This window comes from Homo sapiens, chromosome 16 (assembly GCF_000001405.40).
Source record: "Homo sapiens chromosome 16, GRCh38.p14 Primary Assembly".
NCBI classification, from domain to species: Eukaryota; Metazoa; Chordata; class Mammalia; order Primates; family Hominidae; genus Homo; species Homo sapiens.
The window spans coordinates 69,310,222-69,329,460 of NC_000016.10; the positions used below are offsets into that span (position 1 = coordinate 69,310,222).

Here is a 19,239-nt window from a genome sequence, read left to right on the forward strand (position 1 = left end):
AGTAGCTGGGACTACAGGTGTGCGCCACCATGCCCAGATACGTTTTTTATTTTTTGTAGCGATGGGGGTTCACCTGTTGCCGAGGCTGTTCTCGAATTCCTCGGCCCAAGCAATCGGCCTGCCTCGGCTTCCCAAAGTGTTGGGATTACAGGCATGAGCCCCCATACCCAGCCTCAACTTGGATGTTTTTTGCCCTCCATTTTTTTTCTCTCACAGGATAGACTTGTGGACAAATGGATCACTTGCCTCTGGTGCGTTTTTTTGTTTGTTTGTTTTGTTTTGTTTCTTAATTTAGCGACGAGGTCTTACTATGTTGCCCAAGCTGGTCTTGATCCTCGGCTCAAGCAATCCTCCTGCCTTGGCCTCCCAAAGTGCTGGAATTACAGGCGTGGGCCAGTACACCCAGCCCTAGAACTGCTTTGATCATTGTATCCCCAGAAACTAGCACACAACGCTGCACACAGTAGGTGTGCATGCCTGTAATCCCAGCTACTCGGGAGGCTGAAGCAGGAGAATCGCTTGAACCCGGGAGGCGGAGGTCGCAATGAGCCGAGATCATGCCACTGCACTCCAGCCTAGGCGACAGAGCAAGACTCCGTATCAATCAATCAGTCAATCAATCCAAGCAAAACAAAACTGGCTTTGAACAGTCAGCGGCATCCCACCAGGGATTGAGCCCCAGTGTGGGGCACACTCTGTTTACATTAGCTAGCTCATTTATTCCCCACAAAAGCCAGACAAGGCAGGTACTAATTATGATCGTGCGATATTAAACATGGAGAAACCAACGCTCTGATAAGTTCGTTTTATTGTGAGAATAAAACTGCTCAATGGGCGCTGTTATTCCAAGCGAGGTCAGGATTTCCGGATTCTACCCCGCTCCGCCCCTGGCCCCGCCCCGAGAATGTACGTCCCGCCAGGCCCCGCCCCGGCCTTGTCCCACCCACCCCGTCCCCGCCCCCTGTCCGTCTCGCCCTAGTCCCACCTCCTCGTCCCCAGTCAGTCCTGCCTCTCGAACCGCCCCCTGCCTTCGCCGAGGCAGGGAGAGGTGCCTGCAGTGCGAGCCGTGGACGCTAGGGGGCAGCCGCTCGGCTCGGGCCCGACCGCTCTGGGCTGCGCTCCTCGCTTGCCCTCGGACTCGGCTCCCGCTGCGAGCGGCCGCCCTGCCCGCGCACCGCGCTCAGCGCCCACCGCCGGGCTTCCCGCGCCGGACCCAGTACCTCGGCTCCCCGGGGCCGGACCGAGGCCGCAAGCAGCGCCGCGGGGTGTGGGGCGGACCCAGGAGATGAAATGACAACGTCAACCCTCCAGGTACTTCGTGCGGCCCGGCCCGACTTCGGAGGCCGAAGGCAGCGGGGCCTGCGGGCCGCAGAGCCGGGCGGCGGGCGGGTGGTCAGGTGGGCGCCTCCCAGCCCCGGCCTCGCGACCCCGCTCCGGCCGCCCCCTCGCCGCTTCCGCCCGTGTCTGTTTCCACGCGCTCGGAGCCGGGTGGCATCTCCACCCTCAGGCCTTCCGGCCCTGCCCGGCTGGCCCAGCCCCAGGGCCGCTTCGTGTAGCCGGCGCCCCGGTACCGCCGTGGGGATCAGCCTCACCCGAGCCGCACAGGCACCCTCAGGAAGCTCGGCCCGGGGTCCGGCTGGGCGTTCAGACAGCGATGCTCGCTCCCTCCTCTCCTGTCTCGCTCCCTCCTCTCCTGTCCCGGGTCCTGGAAGTCCCTCGACCTCACTTCGAACAAGCCCCGGCCCCTTCCCCAATCTTCGACTTCCTCTTCTCGGCCAGCGACCCTTCATTCATTCCCTAGATCCTGCAGGGTGGTGCTGGGATGGCGCCACCTGGGTGAACAACTGACCCACCCTCTAGGTGCTGTCAGTCCTGCGGGGCCAGAAGAGATCAACATGCTCAGGCCTCATTCCGGGGTTTGAATCTCAGCTCTGCCACTCACCAGCAAGTGACCTTGGGCTAGTTTTTTTTTTTCATCTTCGGGTCTCGAGTTTCCTGGTCTGTAAAATGGGGTAATGCCCTCTAGGTTGTTGTGATGATAGCTTTAAATTGAATAATTACGGTAAAGCATTCTTGTATGTCTGGCACATAGTAGGTGTCCATTAAGTGACAGCCAACAAAGTGCCTGGGAGAGTTAGGCAAGACTTCATGGAAGAAGGGACATCAGAGTTCCAGTAGCATTCAGAGACCTGGAGGTGGAGGAGGGCAGAAGTAGGAGCAGACATGGAATGAGTTGGGGTACCAGGTTAGGAATTAAGAGTCCATAGCCAGATCCCACCGTACCACCAGCAGAAGCCGCAGATCCCGTCTGCCCAGGCAGGTTTTTTATGGCCCGTGAACCGAGAATGTTTTTCAGTTTCAAACACAGGTGTATTTATTTATTTTTAAATTTTATTTATTTATTTTTTTGAGATGGAGTCTCACTCTGTCACCCAGACTGGAGTGCAGTGGTGTGATCTTGGCTCACTGCAGCCTCTGCCTCTCAGGTTCAAGCGATTCTCCTGCCTCAGCCTCCTGAGTAGCTGGGATTACGGGCACCCGCAACCACGCCCGGCTAATTTTTGTATTTTTAGTAGAGACCGGGTTTCACCGTGTTGGCCAGGCTGGTCTCGAACTCCCGACCTCAGATGATCTGCCCACTTCGGCCTCCCAGAGTGCTGGGATTACAGGTGTGAGCCACGGGTCTGGCCTAAACACAGCTTTATTAAGGTATAACTTGCGTGCTTACCATATAACTCACCCGTTATATATTTTTGTTTTTATTAATTTTTTTTTTTGAGACAGTCTCATTCTGTCACCCAGGCTGGAGTGCAGTGGCACAATCTCAACTCATTGCGGCCTCCGCCTCCTGGGTTCAAGTGATTCTCCTGCCTCAGCCTCCCAAGTAGCTGGGATTACAGGCACCTCCCATCACACCCAGCTAATATTTTTTTGTATTTTTAGTAGAGACGGGGTTTCACCATGTTGGCCAGGCTGGTTTCGAACTCCTGACTTCAAGTGTGATCTGCCCACCTCGGCCGCCCAAAGTGCTGGGATTACAGATGTGAGCCACTGTGCCCAGCGCAACTCACCCATTTAAAGTGTATAATTCAGTGCTTTTAGTATATTCATGGTTGTGTGACCATCACCATAATCACTTTTTAGAATATTTTCATCACCTCCAAAAGAAACCCCTCACCCACAACCCCTCTCTCTCCCAGCCCTGGGCAACCACTGCTAATCTACTTTTTTTCTCTGTGGGTTTGCCTACAGAGAAACCCACTTTATATAAACAGAGTCATACAATAGGTGGTCCTTTGTGGCTAGCTTCTTTCATTATGACTTAACATAATGTCATAGGTTTTTACATTTTTTAAATGGCTTGAAAAACAGTATTTCATGACACATGAAAATCCTATGAAATTCACATTTCAGGGTCTATAAATAAAGTTTTATTGGAACACATCCCTGTTCGTTTATTGATATACTGTCTACAGCTGCTTTTGTGCCATCAAGGTAGAGTTGAGTCGTTGCTACAGAGATTATCTGGCTGGCAAATCCTAAATTATTTACCATCTGGTCCTTTACAGTAAGCATTTGCCAGCCCCCATTAGCACTCTTTTCTTTCATCCTCATCTTTTGCCATACGTGTTACTAGAGATGCGGCGGGGCTGGCAGTTTCTCACCTTACCCTCCTGTTCTGTAAAACTGTTTCTCTCCATTGAAACTTGGACCCCCTGTGTGTGAAAAACTGTATGTGGCTGCCAGAAAAGTCCAGTGCACTCTTTTTTTTTTTTTTTTTTTTGAGATGGACTCTTGCTCTGGTGTGATCTCGGTTCTCTGCAGCCTCCACCTCCTGGGTTCAAGCAATTCTCCTGCCTCAGCCTCCCAAGTAGCCGTAACTACAGGCACGCGTCACCACACCCGGCTAACTTTTTGTATTTTTAGTAGAGATGGTGCTTCACTGTGTTAGCCAGGATGGTCTCAATCTCCTGACCTCCGGTGATCCGCCCGCCTCCGCGTCCCAAAGTGCTGGGATTACAGGCATGAGCCACCGTGCCCAGCCCCAGCACACTCTTAGGTGTATTACTAGAATTTCCAAAAGGAGGGAGGGGATGGGTCAGTGCTGCTCCTTATGGGACAAAGAATACCTTCAGTATTGTTCTAAGGATAGACCCAAGCATGAAGCTACAGAGAGTGAAAAAGTCCAAGGTACTGGGGGTGTGTGTTCTGGAGACGAGAAGCCACCAGGGAGAGGAGCGCTGCCTTCCTGTCTCATCTGAAGGAACATCATGCAGAAGAGGGCAGACAAGGGCAGCCTGTGCCTAAGCTCATTTCCAAGAAGGTTTGGGGCTCCCAGCCATTCATTGTAGGTAGTAGAGGGAGCAGAGGCTTGAAAATAATGGCCAGCACTCACCCCTCTTCTCATCTCTTCAATCCGCTGAGTTCATTTCACATCAGCCTGGCCCAGCCTCCCCTGGCCTGTCTGTTTTGTCGAGCTGTCTGTGTGTGTTTCTTTCGGAGACTTCTTCCTTGCAGATAAGAGAGGGCTGAACAAATGCCCCGGCCCTGCCAAGAGCCGGTCAGGAGGTTTATTGTTTGCTGTGCCTGGAACCGTGGGTCTGCGGTGGGACTGCCTGCCTGGTAACTGGTGCCGGATCTGAGGAGGAGAATTCTGGTCATGCTTCGTGCAGGCGTTGGTGAAGCTGCGGTTTTTAAAACCAGGCTTTAAAACCATGTAGGTGCTTTACTGACCGGTCGCGGTGGCTCATTTCTGTAATCCCAGCACTTTGGAAGCCAAGGCGGGTGGATCACTTGATGTCAGGAGTTCGAGACCAGCCTGGCCAACATGGTGAAACTCTGTCTGCACTAAAAATACAAAAATTAGCCGGATGTAGTGGTGGGCATCTATCACTTGAACCCAGGAGGTGGAGGTTGCAGTGAGCCGAGATCGCGCCAGTGCACTCCGGCCTAGATGATAGAGTAAGACTCTGTCTCAAAAAATAATAATAATAAATAAAACCACGTAGGTGCTTTCAGTTCAGCCTAAGGCACTGGCCTACAGGATTTATGAGATTCCCAAAGACACTCATTCTCACAGAGCTCTTAGAAGGTTCCAGAGGGACACAGTTCTCTTCTGTTGGCAGCAGGGAGCAAGCAAGTACTTTTCTTACTGGAGCTACTGGTATGTGGAGCATTGTGTGTAAGCGTCCCTTCCCAGGGTGTCACTTTAGACAGCGAAGGAAACTGTCTTCTCTCTGCAGCCTGGAGAAGCAAGCTGCATGGAGCCAGGAGGAGGAGGAGAGAGGCCTTTCAGTGTATCCTGTGCAAACTTGCAGTCCGGGCAGGACTTTCCTTCTGGCTGGCTCTTCTCTGGCCCTGAGGCCGGGTGCAATTTCTGGTCTCCTTGCTAAACAAACCAGCAGTCACTTGCTCCCGCGTGTCCCTTCTGCCAGGCTCTCAGCTCGGGTCTGTTTCTCTTTCCCTTGAGGCAGCAGAATAGAAAGTCCCATGAACTTGCCCCTTGAGCCCTGACCTGAGATATTAGGTCAGGTTTCCACTTGCTGAAATCCAGAGCGTGGCTTTTAACCGTCTGAGCTTATTGTGAAGATGGCCGGCTGGTTTTCAAAGCCTTCTTTGAAGGCCTTTCTAGCCGATGTTGAAAAAGTAGGCCAATGAAATGGCCCGCAAGCAATAAATCCACAGGCCCAGCGGCATCCCTCGTCACGTTTCATCCCCATGCCTGTGACCCCAGGGACTTTCCACCTCTCCGAGGAAGCACTGAGCCATTTGCTTTGCCTTTCCAGAAAGCCATTGATCTGGTGACGAAAGCCACAGAGGAGGACAAAGCCAAGAACTACGAGGAGGCGCTGCGGCTGTACCAGCATGCGGTGGAGTACTTCCTCCACGCTATCAAGTGTGAGTCACACGAGGGGTCCTCAGGCTGCCGCACTCCAGAGGGGAGCGGAGGAGAGGGGGTGGCGCACGAGCCTCACAGGGGCCCCTCTGTGTTCCCTTTCACAGATGAGGCCCACAGCGACAAGGCCAAGGAGAGCATTCGAGCCAAGTGCGTGCAGTACCTAGACCGGGCCGAGAAGCTGAAGGATTATTTACGAAGCAAAGAGAAACACGGCAAGAAGCCAGTCAAAGAGAACCAGAGTGAGGGCAAGGGGTGAGTGTCTGCAGCGTCCGCCCAGGAACCTGGGCCCTCCTCACGGCTCCCTATCATTCCTGGCGCTCATGCTGCCTTGGACTTCCCTGTGGGAATGGTCCTCATAGTGCAGGGATGACAGTGCCAGCAGCTGCTTTCAGGGAGCATGGCCTGGAGCACTTCCATGTTCACCGTCTCATTGGATCTGACCCACAAGCCATGGGGAGAGGGGGAGCTTGGTGCAGATGGTAGAGCCTCTCAGGACGGGACCCCAGCTCTGTCACCTCCCAGCCTAGTGCCAGGACCCCGTGTGCCTACCATCTCCACATCTTGGAAGTGGGGAGGTCGTGGAACTCACCTCCGAGCGTTGCCACAGGGAGCAGTGAGATGACGTGGGCAGTGCCCTTGGAGCTTGGCACACGAGAGCATGCAATGAGTGCCAGCTGCTGTGACTGTCAAAGAGTCACCTGCCTCCAACAGGTGGGGCGGCCGGCTCGGGTTAGGAGCCCTGCCGAGGTGGCACAGGATGGAACTTGGACCCCCAAAGCAGGGCGGGTGGCCCCGATTCCCCAGCCAGGGTCCTCTCCACAGCCTCTCACCTCAGGTACTGGGTTCGCCCACCACGGTGATCCCAGTCATATGAACACAAATGCTGGTGGTATCTCGGAGGCGTGGGAGGGGAAGTGAGGGGGTCCCCCAGGCAGGAGAGGGGTGGGTGGTGTCAGCTGCCTCACCAGAGGCGAGGCCTCCTCCTGGATGGAGGGTCTGCACCACGTTCCCATCCGCAGAGGGAGAGGTCTGGCGAGGCAGGGGTGGAGGCCAGGGATCTCCAATAAGGATTAAATCAAGTTTTGAGGATGACAGATTCCATCCAGGGAGGAAGTAGCCCTGGGGTGACAGTGGCTGCGTTCTCCCCAGGAGTTCCCTTTCGATTTCGGTTTTGCTTTCTCCTCTGTCCTTCGGCAGTGGCTGCTTTGGAGTCAGGGGCACATGCTGTCCCTGAGTCTCTACAAAAAGCTTCTGGTGCGGGGCATGGTGGCTCACACCTGTAATCCCAGCACTTTGGGAGGCCAACGCGGGCAGATCACTTGAGGTCAGGATTTCAAAACCAGCCTGGCCAACATGGTGAATCCCGTCTCTATTAAAAATACAAAAAAATAGGCCGGGCGCGGTGGCTCACGCCTGTAATCCCAGCACTTTGGGAAGCCGAGGCGGGCGGATCACGAGGTCAGGAGATTGAGACCATCCTGGCTAACACGGTGAAACCCCGTCTCCACTAAAAATACAAAATATTAGCCGGGCGTGGTGGCGGGCACCTGTAGTCCCAGCTACTCAGGAGGCTGAGGCAGGAGAATGGCGTGAACCCGGGAGGCGGAGCTTGCAGTGAGCCGAGATCGAGCCACTACACTCCAGCCTGGGCGACTGAGTGCGACTCTGTCTTAAAAAAAAAATTAGCCAGGCATTGTGGCATGTGCCTGTAATCCCAGCTACTCGGGAGGCTGACGCCAGAGAATTCAGAGAATTACTTGAACCCGGGAGGCGGAGATTGCAGTGAGCTGAGATGGAGATTGTGCCATCGCACTCCAACCTGGGCACCATCTCAAAAAAAAAAAAAAAAAAAAAAGAAGCTTCTGGCAGCTGCATTGTTTGACTGGCTTTTTTTTTTTTTTTTCCCCCAGACAGGGCTTCACTGTCTCCCAGGCTGGAGTGCAGTGGTGCGATCTTGGTTAACTGCAACCTCTGCCTCCCAAGTAGCTGGCACCATAGGTGCGTGCCACCATGCTTGGCTAATTTTGTGTTTTTTGTAGAGACAAGATCTCGCTGTTTCCCAGGCTGGTCTCAAACTCCTGGGCTCAAGCGATCCTCCCGCCTCAGCCTCCCAGAGTGCTGGGATTACAGGGGTGAGCCACCGCACCCAGCCTGGGCTGTGAGAGCCACTGCAGGTGGCCTCCCAGAGTATGAGGTGTGAGTCACCGCACCTGGCCTGGGCTGCTCTTTAAGTCCAGCTGAAGCACATTTCCCTTACGGCCTTCAGGAGAGGGCCGACCCGGATTCCCATCTGCTCCGCGAAGAAACAGGGCGGGTTATAGGAGTGTTTGCTGGGGGGGTCCTGAAGTGAGCTGCTGAGAGCATTGGCCCAAATGTCCCTGAAGTACTTGCTTGAGTCACACGGCACTGTTAAGCCAGGAAGGCTTCGTTCCTTAACCAGTGTGCAGGCAGCGGAGCCTGGACTTGCTGGGAGCACCTCTGTGCTCCAGGCTGAAGGGCCAGCTTGTGACTTTCCGTCTCCCTTCCCAGCAGTGACAGTGACAGTGAAGGGGATAATCCGGAGAAAAAGAAACTGCAAGAACAGCTGATGGGTAAGTGGCTCGCGGCCCTGTGGCAGCGGCAGGGGATGAGAGTGGGTCCGCTGCTGGGTTGGCTCATGCCCCTTGGCCGGGCCCGGGCCCGGGCCGGCCTCCCTCTCGCAGGTGCCGTCGTGATGGAGAAGCCCAACATACGGTGGAACGACGTGGCCGGGCTGGAGGGGGCCAAGGAGGCCCTCAAAGAAGCTGTCATTTTGCCAATCAAATTCCCACACTTGTTCACAGGTGAGAGTTGAGCCATTTCAAACCCCAATGTAAAAATTCCAGGCTTCCGCAGGGCTGGCACTCCGAGGCACCCGGGAGTCAGTGGCGACTCAGCCCCCGGGGCCTGCAGAGGGCCAGGCCTGGCTGCTCGCTGGTGTCCACAACACTGCTGTGGCTGGAGCTATGAGATGACGATCACGTCACAGGGTGGGGGCAGGATCAGGAAGCAGTGCCAGCCGGTGTCACTGTGCAAGGTCATGGGGTCATAGCAGGGGCACTGTGCAAGGTCATGGGGTCATAGCACAGGGCACAGCAGGGAATGTAGCTCCCATCACTTGTTTGCCAGTAGAGTCCGTTGTTTCACAGAATGCCCTGTTTTACTGTATGTATGGGACTCGAGACCCTCTGCTTTTCCTATTCCTTTCCCCAGTCAGGAGGCCTAACTTCTGTGGTTCTCTGTTGCAGGCAAGCGCACCCCCTGGCGGGGGATTCTGCTGTTCGGACCCCCTGGCACAGGGAAATCCTACCTGGCCAAAGCCGTGGCAACAGAGGCCAACAACTCCACCTTCTTCTCTGTGTCCTCCTCAGATCTGATGTCCAAGTGGCTGGGGGAGAGTGAAAAGTAAGTCGGCCACCAGGCCATGCTCTGCCAGCAGCCCCGGCACTGCTAGTGACCCAGCGGCCCACCCTGTGGAGTCACCTCTCAGAGGAGTGGTTTGGTTTTCAGGGAGGGTACCCAAGAGCAGTGTGTCGCTAGCTTATCGGCTGGGACACAGTCCCAACAAAGACAAGTGAAGGTGGAAGGGACCTGGGAGAGGTGAAGTGCTCCACAAGAGAAGGGAAAGGAAGTGAGGATATTTTTGGGGTCTGGGTTGCGGTCCCTGTTGGGGCAGTGTGTGGGGGACATGGTTCCCCACACTGACTCCTGTTTTGCGTGTGATGAGACGGGCTCGGAAGAAGGGGACTGACGTGTTGTAAGTGCAGAGCTAGCGCATGGGGCTCCTGGGATTGAGGCTCTGCGTTTGGGGCTGACACCAAGGTGTGCTCCTCCTCTTGGTGCAGTGTGGCCCGAGGGCTCCTCACCACCACGTTTTCCGCAATTCCGGCATGACCGTGGCCTGCGCCTCCCTGTGGGAAGGGTGAGAAGAGGGAAGTGCCGGGAGCCCAGGCGGGCACGGACGTGAACGTCTTGTCCTCACCCCCTTTCTCACCTTCACAGGCTGGTCAAGAACCTGTTTGAGCTGGCCAGGCAGCACAAGCCCTCCATCATCTTCATCGATGAGGTGGATTCCCTCTGCGGGTCCCGAAATGAAAATGAGAGTGAGGCCGCCCGGAGGATCAAAACGGAGTTCTTGGTCCAGATGCAGGGTGTGTGCCGGGCCCAGGGCCCCCTTGGTTCTTGTTGCACCTGAAGCCAACCCTGGGCTTTATTCTGAGCTGCGGCTGGATTTGGTTGTTCTCAGCCTCGGAGAGGCACTCCCCAGCTCCAGCCCCTCAGGGCACGGGTGGACTTCAATTCCCAAGAGGTGCCTGAGGCCTCTGCCTCACGGGCCACTCCACCCCTCCCATGGCAGGCAGTGCCATAGGTCTCACCTGGCACAGCCAGACCAAGATGTGGTTTAATCTCACTTGGGACCCTGCCAGTGGTGGGTGGCACAGGGATGGCTTCAATTGCTGACACACAAAGCCCCCGGGGTCTGTCCCCAGGTTTCAACTGACCCGTGCAGGTGTCCAGAGTCTGAGTCTTTGTCTCCCTTTCTCCACAGGGGTGGGGAATAACAATGATGGGACTCTGGTTCTTGGAGCCACAAACATCCCATGGGTGTTGGATTCGGCCATCAGGAGGAGGTGAGTCTTCCCCAGGAGAAGCCAGGGCTGGAGGCTTCCTCCCACCATGGTCACGGTCCGCCTGCTGCTGGCAGCCCGGGTGCAGCCTGGCCCCTTTTCCCTGGAGTCTTCCCGTCTGCCTGCCAAGCAGAGCCCTTTGTGAGGCTGGCTTGTTGAGGATGTGCCGCCAGCATCACTGGCCCATGAAATGCGTCCGTTTCACTCAAATCTTCGTGCCTCCCCTTCCGTGAATACCATTCCATCATCCGCTGTCAACTCCTGCCGTGTGCTGGGCTCTCTAGGTTTGAAAAACGAATTTATATCCCCTTGCCGGAGGAAGCTGCCCGCGCCCAGATGTTCCGGTTGCATCTCGGGAGCACTCCCCACAACCTCACGGATGCAAACATCCACGAGCTGGCCCGGAAGACGGAAGGCTACTCGGGCGCGGACATCAGCATCATCGTGCGGGACTCTCTCATGCAGCCCGTGAGGAAGGTGCAGTCGGCCACACACTTCAAAAAGGTGAGTGCCCGCGGCCACTGCTGAGAAAAATCTCATAGTAAGAGCGGGATGTTCGGTTTTTTTTTTCCCAGCTCCTGGTCCTGCTCCCCGGCTGCTCAGGTGACACAGTCTCTGAGGCCTCCTGGAGAGCCGAGGGCCAGTGCCATGGGGGCTGCACCCACTGTCCCCTCCCTGCAGCTCTTCTGGAGTGTGGCCATCTCAGGGTGTGTGAAAGCAGAGGACAGGGCCACTTTACTGTCTTAACCCTGCTGCGGCCTCCTCCGTCAGCACTGTGTGCTCTTGTGCGGGGTGGACACCAAATCAGTGTTTGGAAAGTGTTGGATATAAAATGACCAGGAAGACCTGTCTATTCATTCAGCAGATCTCTGCTGAGTATTTGCTGTGGGTCCTCCTGTGTGCCCGGCCCTGTCCTAAGTGCTGGGAAGATATGAGTGACCAACAGACAAAAATCCTAGACCTTCCGTTGTTGGTGGGGAGACAGTCAACACAGTCAGTGAGTGTCTCAGAGGATGGAGATGGAGCAGGGTTAGGAGAGAGGTGTCTCGGGCATGGAGGGAAGGGCAGATGGCACTGGGGTGATGCCTGAGACAGGAGGTGAAGGTGTGAGGGAATGAGCCTTGTGGACATTGGGGGAATGTTTTGCCAAGGCAGCGGACTTCAGTTGGAAAACCACTTTGTGTTAATCTATTTTCATGCTGCTGATAAAGACATACCCGAGACTGGGAAGAAAAAGAGGTTTAATTGGCCTTACAGTTCCACATGGCTAGGGAGGCCTCAGAATCATGGTAGGAGACCAAAGGCACTTCTTACATGCTGGTGGCAAGAGAAAATGAAGAAACAAAAGTGGAAACCCCTGATAAACCCATCAGATCTCGTGAGACTTCACCATCACGAGAATAGCACGGGAAAGACCAGCCCCCATGATTCAGTTACCTCCCCCTGGGTCCCTCCCACAACATGTGGGAATTCTGGGAGATAGATACAGTTCAAGTTGAAATGTGGGTGGGGGCACAGCTAAACCATATCACACTTTTAATGTCACTGTATTCCTGGTGAGACGTGACAGTGTTAATGAGGAAGACATCAAGGCATTGGGGCTACAGATTGCCAGAGTCCCATGCAAATCATGAGTCGCTCGGACCACCCAGCCCGAGTTCTGAAGGAGCCCGTCCTCCTCAGATGCTAGGGACCCACAGAGCATTCTCTTTGGGACTTCCTTAGAGACCGGAGGGGTCGAGCCCCTCTGACACTGAGGGGCAGCTGCCCCAGTCAGATCCATTTGGTTTCAGGTCTGTGGCCCCTCTCGCACCAACCCCAGCATGATGATTGATGACCTCCTGACTCCATGCTCACCAGGGGACCCAGGAGCCATGGAGATGACTTGGATGGATGTCCCTGGGGACAAACTCTTAGAGCCTGTGGTTTGCATGGTAAGTGACTTGACAGGGGAGGGAAGAGGGCTGCACAGAGCCCAGAAAATTGAGGGTTTGGGTCCAGAATAAAAACGGTCTTCTCCAGGCCAGGCATGGTAGCTCACGCCTGTAATCCCAGCACTTTGGGAGGCCAGGGTGGGCAGATCACAAGGTTAGGAGTTCGAGACCAGCCTAGCCAATATGGAGAAACCCTGTCTCTACTAAAAATACAAAAATTAGCCGGGTGTGGTGGTGTGCACTTGTAGTCCCAGCTACTCAGGAGGCTGAGGCAGAAGGATCGCTTGAAGCCGGGAGGCAGAGGTTGCAGTGAGCAGAGATTGGGCCACTGCACTCCAGCCTGGGTGACAGAGTGAGACTCCGTCTCAAAAATAAAAAATAGTCTTCTTCTATGTCCTGGGCTGTTGAGAATGGCCTTTGTAGCTCAGGGAAGCTGGCATTACACTCACTGGGGGCCCAGAATGCAGGTGGCAGCATTAGCATTTTGTACATACAGAGAAAGGCTAGATGCAGTGGTGCAGTGATAGCTCACTGCAGGCTTGACCTCACGAGCTCACACAATCTTCTGACCTCAGCCTCCTGAGTAGCAACAGGCACACACCATCATGCCCAGCTAATTTTTCCTTTTTTTTTTAGAAACGGCCTCACAGTGTTGCCCAGGCCAGTCTGAAACTGCTGGGCTCAAGTGATCCTCTCAGCGTGGCCTCCCAAAGTGCTGGGATTACAAGCATGAGCTGAGCCACCACACCTAGCCTGCATTTTATATTCTTTAGCAAGTAAAGTCAGGTCCAGATAATATGACGTCAATCCATGGGTTTGGCTTTGCGGTGCAGTGAGGCAGTGAATGTGTCAAGACTGTGACGCAGTTGCAAAGGCAGCGCCTCACCTGCATAGCCTGGCCCGTGCCATCCTGGCAAGGGTCTGCCCTTGTGGCTGGTGTTGGGGGTGTGCAGCTAAGAAGGCTCCTGGCCGGGCGCCGTGGCTCCCGCCTGTAATCCCAGCACTTCGGGAGGCCGAGGCGGGCAGATCGCCTGAGGTCAGGAGTTCAAGAGCAGCCTGGCCAACATAGTGAAACCCCGTCTCTGCTAAAAATACAAAAATCAGCCATGTGTGGTGGCACGTGCCTGTAGTCCCAGCTATTTGGGAGGCTGAGGCAGGAGAGTCACTTGAACCGAGGAGGTGGAGGTTGCGGTGAGCCGAGATCATGCCACTGCACTCCAGCCTGGGTGACAGACTCCGTCTCCAAAAAAAAAAAAAAAAAAAAAGAAAGCAAGTTCGTAAGGGGAGTTATGAGATGATGGAGCTTAGATTCTCAGACCAGGAGGAGGCCCATCTGAGCTGCCTCGAGAGGGAAGAGGGTCCCTGCCATAGGCAGATTCAAGCAGGCCTCTGGGGTGGCCTTGAAGGCAAACCTCTTCCCACCCTCAGCTGCGCCTGTTGTGTGCTGAGGGGAGGTTGGGGACCTGGAGCCTGGCTCCTGCTCAGGCACATACTGTTGCCTTCACAGTCGGACATGCTGCGGTCTCTGGCCACCACCCGGCCCACGGTGAATGCAGACGACCTCCTGAAAGTGAAGAAATTCTCAGAGGACTTTGGGCAAGAGAGTTAAAAGCTGCTTCACTTGGGCAATGGTGAAGGTGGGAGGTTGATTGGGGCAAATCCAGGCACTCCCCATGTCAACAGCCAGACAGGGCTCCAGGGCTTGTCCCAGTCAATACAGAGTTCCCTCTGCTGTCTGGCCGTCTGCCAGGGAGCCAGAAGGAAGGGCCTTGCAGCCACAGAGACACTCCACTGCCCTGGGGCACACAGTGGACACTGCTCTTCCTACTTCCTCCTCTCCTGGATGCTCATCAGCTCCTTCTGCCTCCCCCCCTTTTTTTTCCATCTTTTGTTCCCCTAAATTAATGCTGCTTGGATTTTCATCTTATTTATAAAGATAAAATCACCTGGAAGTGTCAAGGAGTGGGGCGGGGTGGCGGGGGAGAAGCAGCCGTGCTGCCAGGTCACCCAGACCTCCAGACAGCCGGCTAGCCCCACTGCCCGTTCCTTTTACGCCCAAGTTTTGCTCCTTGAGAGCAGATTGGCTGATGCCCCTGCAACCCCAGCCCAAGCTCTGCCTCAAAGACCGAGTGACATAAGCCATTCCCACCCTCCTAGGTTCACATCCAGGGCTGTGTCTTCCTTGGGGGAGGAGATGGTGTCGTTTAGATCAGGGTAAGGCAGTCAGGCGGGTGTTCACCACTGCCTTTTCTTCCTCTGAGCGTGAGAACACTGAACCCAGCCACTGCCCCTGGGTCCCTGTCCTGGAAATGGTCTAATAAATCCTTTTCCCTTCTTGAGCTACCCAAGTGATCTCATCTTTCCTTGACTCTTAACTGAGACTCTGAAGGGCCACCCTTGCTTCCAATTAAAAGACCCTCTGGTTTTCTGTCTCCTCTCTTTTCTAAAGCAGAGCAGGAAACAGAACACTGCAGTTCTTAGGCCTGTTCTCCAGTCAGGTGTGCAAGGCCTCCTCCCCTTAAGGCCTCAGAAGTTTGGCTGGGGATGTTTGTGGGATCCAGACAGTTCTTGCCGTTGTTCGGCCTACAGATCAGAGACTGCAAAGTGGGAGCCCTGCGTACCAGACCCGTCCTGCAGCTGTGTTTGTTTGGTTTGGTCTGCCGCTAACATTTAAAAGTCGAGAGTTGCTGGGCGCGGTGGCTCACGCCTGTAATCCCAGCACTTTGGGCCGCTAACATTTAAAAGTCGAGAGTTGCTGGGCGCGGTGGCTCACGCCTGTAATCCCAGCACTTTGGGAGGCCGACGCGGGCGGATCACAAGGTCAGGAAATCGAGAACATCCTGGCTAACACAGTGAAACCCCGTCTCACTAAAAATAAAAAAATTAGCCGGGCGTGGTGGTGGGCGCCTGCAGTCCCAGCTACTTGGGAGGCTGAGGCAGGAGAATGGCGTGAACCCGGGGGACGGAGCTTGCAGTGAGCCGAGATCGCGCCACTGCACTCCAGCCTGGGCGACAGAGCAAGACTCTGTCTCAAAAAAAAAAAAAAAGTCGAGAGTTGACATAAAAATTCAGAATTCTGACTTCTAGAAGATTAAATTAGGTAATGTTGGGCCTGCGTCCTCATGGGGCAGCCTGTCAGCGGCCACTAAGTAGAGGCTGCTCTGTACAGAAGGGGTCCCCCATCCCCACTCATCTGTGTTGCCTGCCCAGATAGCCCCATGGCCATTTCAGTTTGCGACCCCCAACAGACCAAGGACCCAGAGCTGGCAGCCCTGGACCCACGTCCGGCAGGCAGTGAAGCTGCAGAGGCTGTCCCACGTTTACCCCATGCATATAAACAGACCAAAGTCAAAGCACATTCACACAGAAAGACCTGGCCTAGTAAATGAAGCTTATAGCCTGCAAAGGGCTTTGTTCCAACCTTCCCTCTCCAAAACCCAGTACTGCTCCTCTACCTTTCAAACCTGGTTGGGCCAGAACTGATTACATGGCCAACTCTTGGCTCACACTGGGCTTGCACTGGGCCATTTCTTTGCTCTGGTTCAGAGCCTCTGCAGAAGTGAGCTAACTTTGGATCAGTAGCTCCAACACTTGGCTCCAGTGCTGGCAGGTTACCCCTCAACCATAGCAGCTGGGATCTTTGTGGCTTGGGGGTGCTTGTGTAAGTTCTTGGTTATGTGCCCTCAGCCACCAGGATATGAACCGTGTCTGCAGAGCTTCACTTTAGTGAGCTTACAAGTTTTTAAATTTTTACTTCTAGTTACATTTACTTGAATCAGAACGTTGTTTCCTCATTCCTACTGCTTAAACACCTTGACAAGTCCTAGGGGTTAACAAAGGTTAGCATGGCTATGGTCCATCCCTGTGCTCTAGTTAGAGCGTGAAGACACCTGACTTTCCAGTTGTCTCTCTCCATGACCAGCAACAGGAACCACTGACGCTGAACTTTGGACAGTGGCCTCAGACTCTGGCTGCCAGCACACAACCTGCCATCATCGATGTTAAACATGCTGACATGTGCAGAGGAGTTTCCTCCCTGAAATGCTCTGAAATTCACTTCTCTGCCTGGGGATTCTGTTATAAACCTTCTGCCTACATTGGCTTTCACTGTGGAAGTTGATTTCTAAAACTCTGATGAGCTCACAACGTTGACATGTATATGCGTTTTTTGTGAGTGCTTCCTGCTCAAAGTGGGAGAGATTTTACTGGAAATGCAATAAAGTTTGCATTTTATTGCTACCGATGCCCACCACAAAAGCGTTAACCTCAGAAAGCTATAAGAAGCATCAAAAGATTGCCATAGCCCCCTGTAAGAGCTTCTGAACATTGTCCAAATGAAAGGAGGCTCAGCTGAATTCTAATTTTCCTAAAGACCCATGTTTTTAGCATCTATGAGCTTTCTACAAATCTCCCCATTGGCTGCATCTCTGACCTTGCACCAGTATCTGGTTGGGATTCCCTTTTTTTTTTTTTTTTTTTTTTTTTGAGACAGAGCCTTGGTCTGTCGCCCAGGCTGGAGTACAGTGGCGAGATCTCAGCCCACTGCAACCTCTGCCTCCCAGGTTTGAGCGATTCTCCCGCCTCAGCCTCCCAAGTAGCTGTGATTACAGGCGCCTACCAGCACACCCAGCTAATTTTCATATTTTTAGTAGAAACAGTGTTTCGCCATGTTGGCCAGGCTGGTCTTGAACTCCTGACCTCAGGTGATCTGCCTGCCTTGACCTCCCAAAGTGCTGGGATTACAGGCATGAGCCACCAAGCCTGGCCGGGATTCCTTTTCAAAGTCTGGCTGCACCTAGAGCCAGTTTGCTTCTGCTTGGCCTCATGGGGCCTCAGAGAAAGCCACAAAGGAGGATGGGTCTTTCCTGGGTTCATTTAACTGCCATTTATAACACTTTTTCCTCTAAACAGCTTAATGGACTTCCTACTACTTGTATAGTTTGATTTTCAGGACTCTGTTCAGCAAGAATACCTACTTTACAAAACTCAGCATAAAAATGAGGTGAAACAGTTTAACTAAAACTGGAGTTTGGCTGGGTAGTGTGGCTCACAACTGATCCCAGCACTTTGGGAGGCCGAGGCAGGAGGATTGCCTGAGACCAGGAATTTGAGGCCAGCCTGGGCAACATAGTAAGACCCCCGTCTCTATCTTAAAAAAAAAATAAAAGAATAAAACAAGTTCCTTCACCTCTTGACAAGACAAAGCTGACACTTTTTTTTTTTGAGACAGAGAAAAAAAGAAAACTCTACAGCCAGAATCATACTTTTGAGTCTCGCTCTGTCGCCCAGGCTGGATGGAGTGCAGTGGCGTGATCTCAGCTCACTGTAACCTCCGCCTCCTGGGTTCAAGTAATTCTCTGCCTTGGCTTCACGAGTAGCTGGGATTACAGGTGCTCGCCACCACGCCCGGCTAATTTTTGTATCTTTAGTAGAGACAGGGTTTCACCATCTTGGCCAGGCTGGTCTTGAGCTCCTGACCTCGTGATCCACCCGCCCCGCCCTCCCAAAGTGCTGGGATTACAGGCGTGAACCACTGCACCTGGCCACTTTCTTAAACCTACACATTGGTTGCTGTGATATTAATTCTATTTTTACAAAATAAGTGTATAACCAGGAAGTACTAATCCTGCTTTCTATGCCCAATTGTTAACAGGAAAGGGCTCAGTGCACTTCTCAATTGTCACCCCTGCCCCCAGCCCTGATCCACGGCCTCTACCCCAAGAATGAGCCAAGAACCAGCTGCTCTAGGGATCTCAGCAGCAAAATCCTGCCCAAGGCTGTTAAAATGTGTGGGCACTCATTTACACTCGTGCTGTCATGAAACACATCCTTGAACAGGGACTATTCTCTTTCATTTCCATAAGCAAACTGGCGTCTAAGGCCACAAGCCCTCCGTAAAAATAAGAACTCGGCACAAATGGCCAGTCACATGCTTACCTGCATTTTTAAAGACAGCTTTCAGGTATTTGGGGACTACATTATTACCAAACCTTGGCTTTGGGAGATTATACAGGTCCGAGGAACTCGTGTCTACTGCAGACGAATGCAATTACCCCACCTTCCTCCATACAGAATTGTTAGGAAATGTCCACTCCTTTGGGGGTGATTTTTCTCCTCAAGTTGTAGCCAACATTTTGTCCGTAACTGATTTCAGGGCAAACATTTCTGACATCTTCCTCCAGCTCAGTCTGCCATGCCTTGGCAATCCAGTTTCCTGTCATATGCGAGCCATCCAAGTTGATGCCAAGTAAGATTTGCCCAGCTCAAAGTGAAAGTGTTTGCGTCTTGGTATCCGGAATCCTCAGCCCCAGTAGCAAAGCTTTAGTCATTCACCTTCATCCAATAGACGTTTGTGAACGTCCTGCTGTCCATTTTGTCAATAAACAGGCAGCCCTGCAGGTGGTCCATCTCGTGCTGGATGATGCGGGCTGCCCACCCGCTCGCCTGCCACACCACCTGTTCTCCATTGGGGTCCAGCCCTGCAAAGGAAGTTACAGCCCTGGTGAGTGGGAACAGCTGAACTGCATCATCCTCAACCTCCCTACCCCTGCCCCCGGTCCTGGCTGTTCCCATTGACAAGAGGCAACAGCAGATGGCAAATGTAGACAGCAGCTCCTCTTCTAACTGGAAAACGTCCCTCATCTCGGTCCATTACCAAGCGTTCAACCTGGTTCCCAACTCTGGTAATTAGGTTATCGAGCTCACTGTAGAGCTGAGATGAGAAATCATCTTTCTACGGTGCGACCCTTCCGAACACTCC

At 53.7% G+C, this 19,239-nt stretch overlaps 3 protein-coding genes across 9 annotated transcripts in view, besides 6 other annotated features; 1 reads left to right on the forward strand and 2 right to left on the reverse strand.

Annotated features, from left to right (window-relative positions):
• Positions 1–951: an enhancer, noted in NCBI's record as "H3K27ac hESC enhancer chr16:69344125-69345075 (GRCh37/hg19 assembly coordinates)". NCBI's record gives its function as "activates a minimal SCP1, AML or CMV promoter by ChIP-STARR-seq in primed H9 embryonic stem cells {active_cell/tissue: H9 hESC(primed)}" and the evidence as "EXISTENCE:reporter gene assay evidence [ECO:0000049][PMID:30033119]".
• Positions 1–983: a biological region, named in NCBI's record as "H3K27ac hESC enhancer GRCh37_chr16:69344125-69345075".
• Positions 844–983: a silencer, noted in NCBI's record as "silent region_7654". NCBI's record gives its function as "represses an Ori minimal core promoter by ATAC-STARR-seq in GM12878 lymphoblastoid cells {active_cell/tissue: GM12878}" and the evidence as "EXISTENCE:reporter gene assay evidence [ECO:0000049][PMID:35858748]".
• Positions 952–1,901: an enhancer, noted in NCBI's record as "H3K27ac hESC enhancer chr16:69345076-69346025 (GRCh37/hg19 assembly coordinates)". NCBI's record gives its function as "activates a minimal SCP1, AML or CMV promoter by ChIP-STARR-seq in naive H9 embryonic stem cells {active_cell/tissue: H9 hESC(naive)}" and the evidence as "EXISTENCE:reporter gene assay evidence [ECO:0000049][PMID:30033119]".
• Positions 1,044–1,593: a silencer, noted in NCBI's record as "silent region_7655". NCBI's record gives its function as "represses an Ori minimal core promoter by ATAC-STARR-seq in GM12878 lymphoblastoid cells {active_cell/tissue: GM12878}" and the evidence as "EXISTENCE:reporter gene assay evidence [ECO:0000049][PMID:35858748]".
• Positions 1,129–16,718, forward strand: VPS4A (vacuolar protein sorting 4 homolog A). The gene is made up of 11 exons (NM_013245.3): positions 1,129–1,311; positions 5,787–5,898; positions 6,004–6,151; positions 8,429–8,490; positions 8,602–8,721; positions 9,166–9,322; positions 9,920–10,068; positions 10,467–10,548; positions 10,830–11,049; positions 12,339–12,479; positions 13,987–16,718. The coding sequence occupies exons 1-11, from the start codon at positions 1,291–1,293 to the stop codon at positions 14,086–14,088; spliced, it is 1,314 nt and encodes a 437-aa protein (NP_037377.1). The 5' UTR covers positions 1,129–1,290; the 3' UTR covers positions 14,089–16,718.
• Positions 5,155–6,354: an enhancer, noted in NCBI's record as "CDK7 strongly-dependent group 2 enhancer chr16:69349279-69350478 (GRCh37/hg19 assembly coordinates)". NCBI's record gives its function as "activates an origin of replication core promoter dependent on BRD2, BRD4, P300/CBP, MED14 and CDK7 cofactors, with strong dependence on CDK7, by STARR-seq in HCT116 cells {active_cell/tissue: HCT116}" and the evidence as "EXISTENCE:reporter gene assay evidence [ECO:0000049][PMID:35650434]".
• COG8 (component of oligomeric golgi complex 8) overlaps positions 16,207–19,239 on the reverse strand; it is a 13,137-nt gene continuing 10,104 nt past the window's right edge. For all 7 annotated transcript variants that reach the window (NM_001379266.1, NM_001379265.1, NM_001379262.1 and 4 more), the window contains one exon: positions 16,207–18,958. In NM_001379266.1, coding sequence (NP_001366195.1) covers positions 18,815–18,958 — 144 coding nt within the window. In that variant the 3' untranslated portion in view covers positions 16,207–18,814. The remainder of the gene's footprint in view (positions 18,959–19,239) is intronic.
• Positions 16,692–19,239, reverse strand: part of PDF (peptide deformylase, mitochondrial) — a 3,676-nt gene continuing 1,128 nt past the window's right edge. The window contains exon 2 of the mRNA NM_022341.2: positions 16,692–18,958. Coding sequence (NP_071736.1) covers positions 18,801–18,958 — 158 coding nt within the window. The 3' untranslated portion in view covers positions 16,692–18,800. The remainder of the gene's footprint in view (positions 18,959–19,239) is intronic.

Excerpts from the sequence above, each read along its gene's own strand:
- VPS4A (NM_013245.3), top strand. The coding sequence starts at position 1,291 with ATGACAACGTCAACCCTCCAG. Across the intron at positions 5,899-6,003 it reads CTTCCTCCACGCTATCAAGT|ATGAGGCCCACAGCGACAAG; the intron begins GTGAGTCACACG and ends TCCCTTTCACAG. Across the intron at positions 9,323-9,919 it reads TGGCTGGGGGAGAGTGAAAA|GCTGGTCAAGAACCTGTTTG; the intron begins GTAAGTCGGCCA and ends TCACCTTCACAG.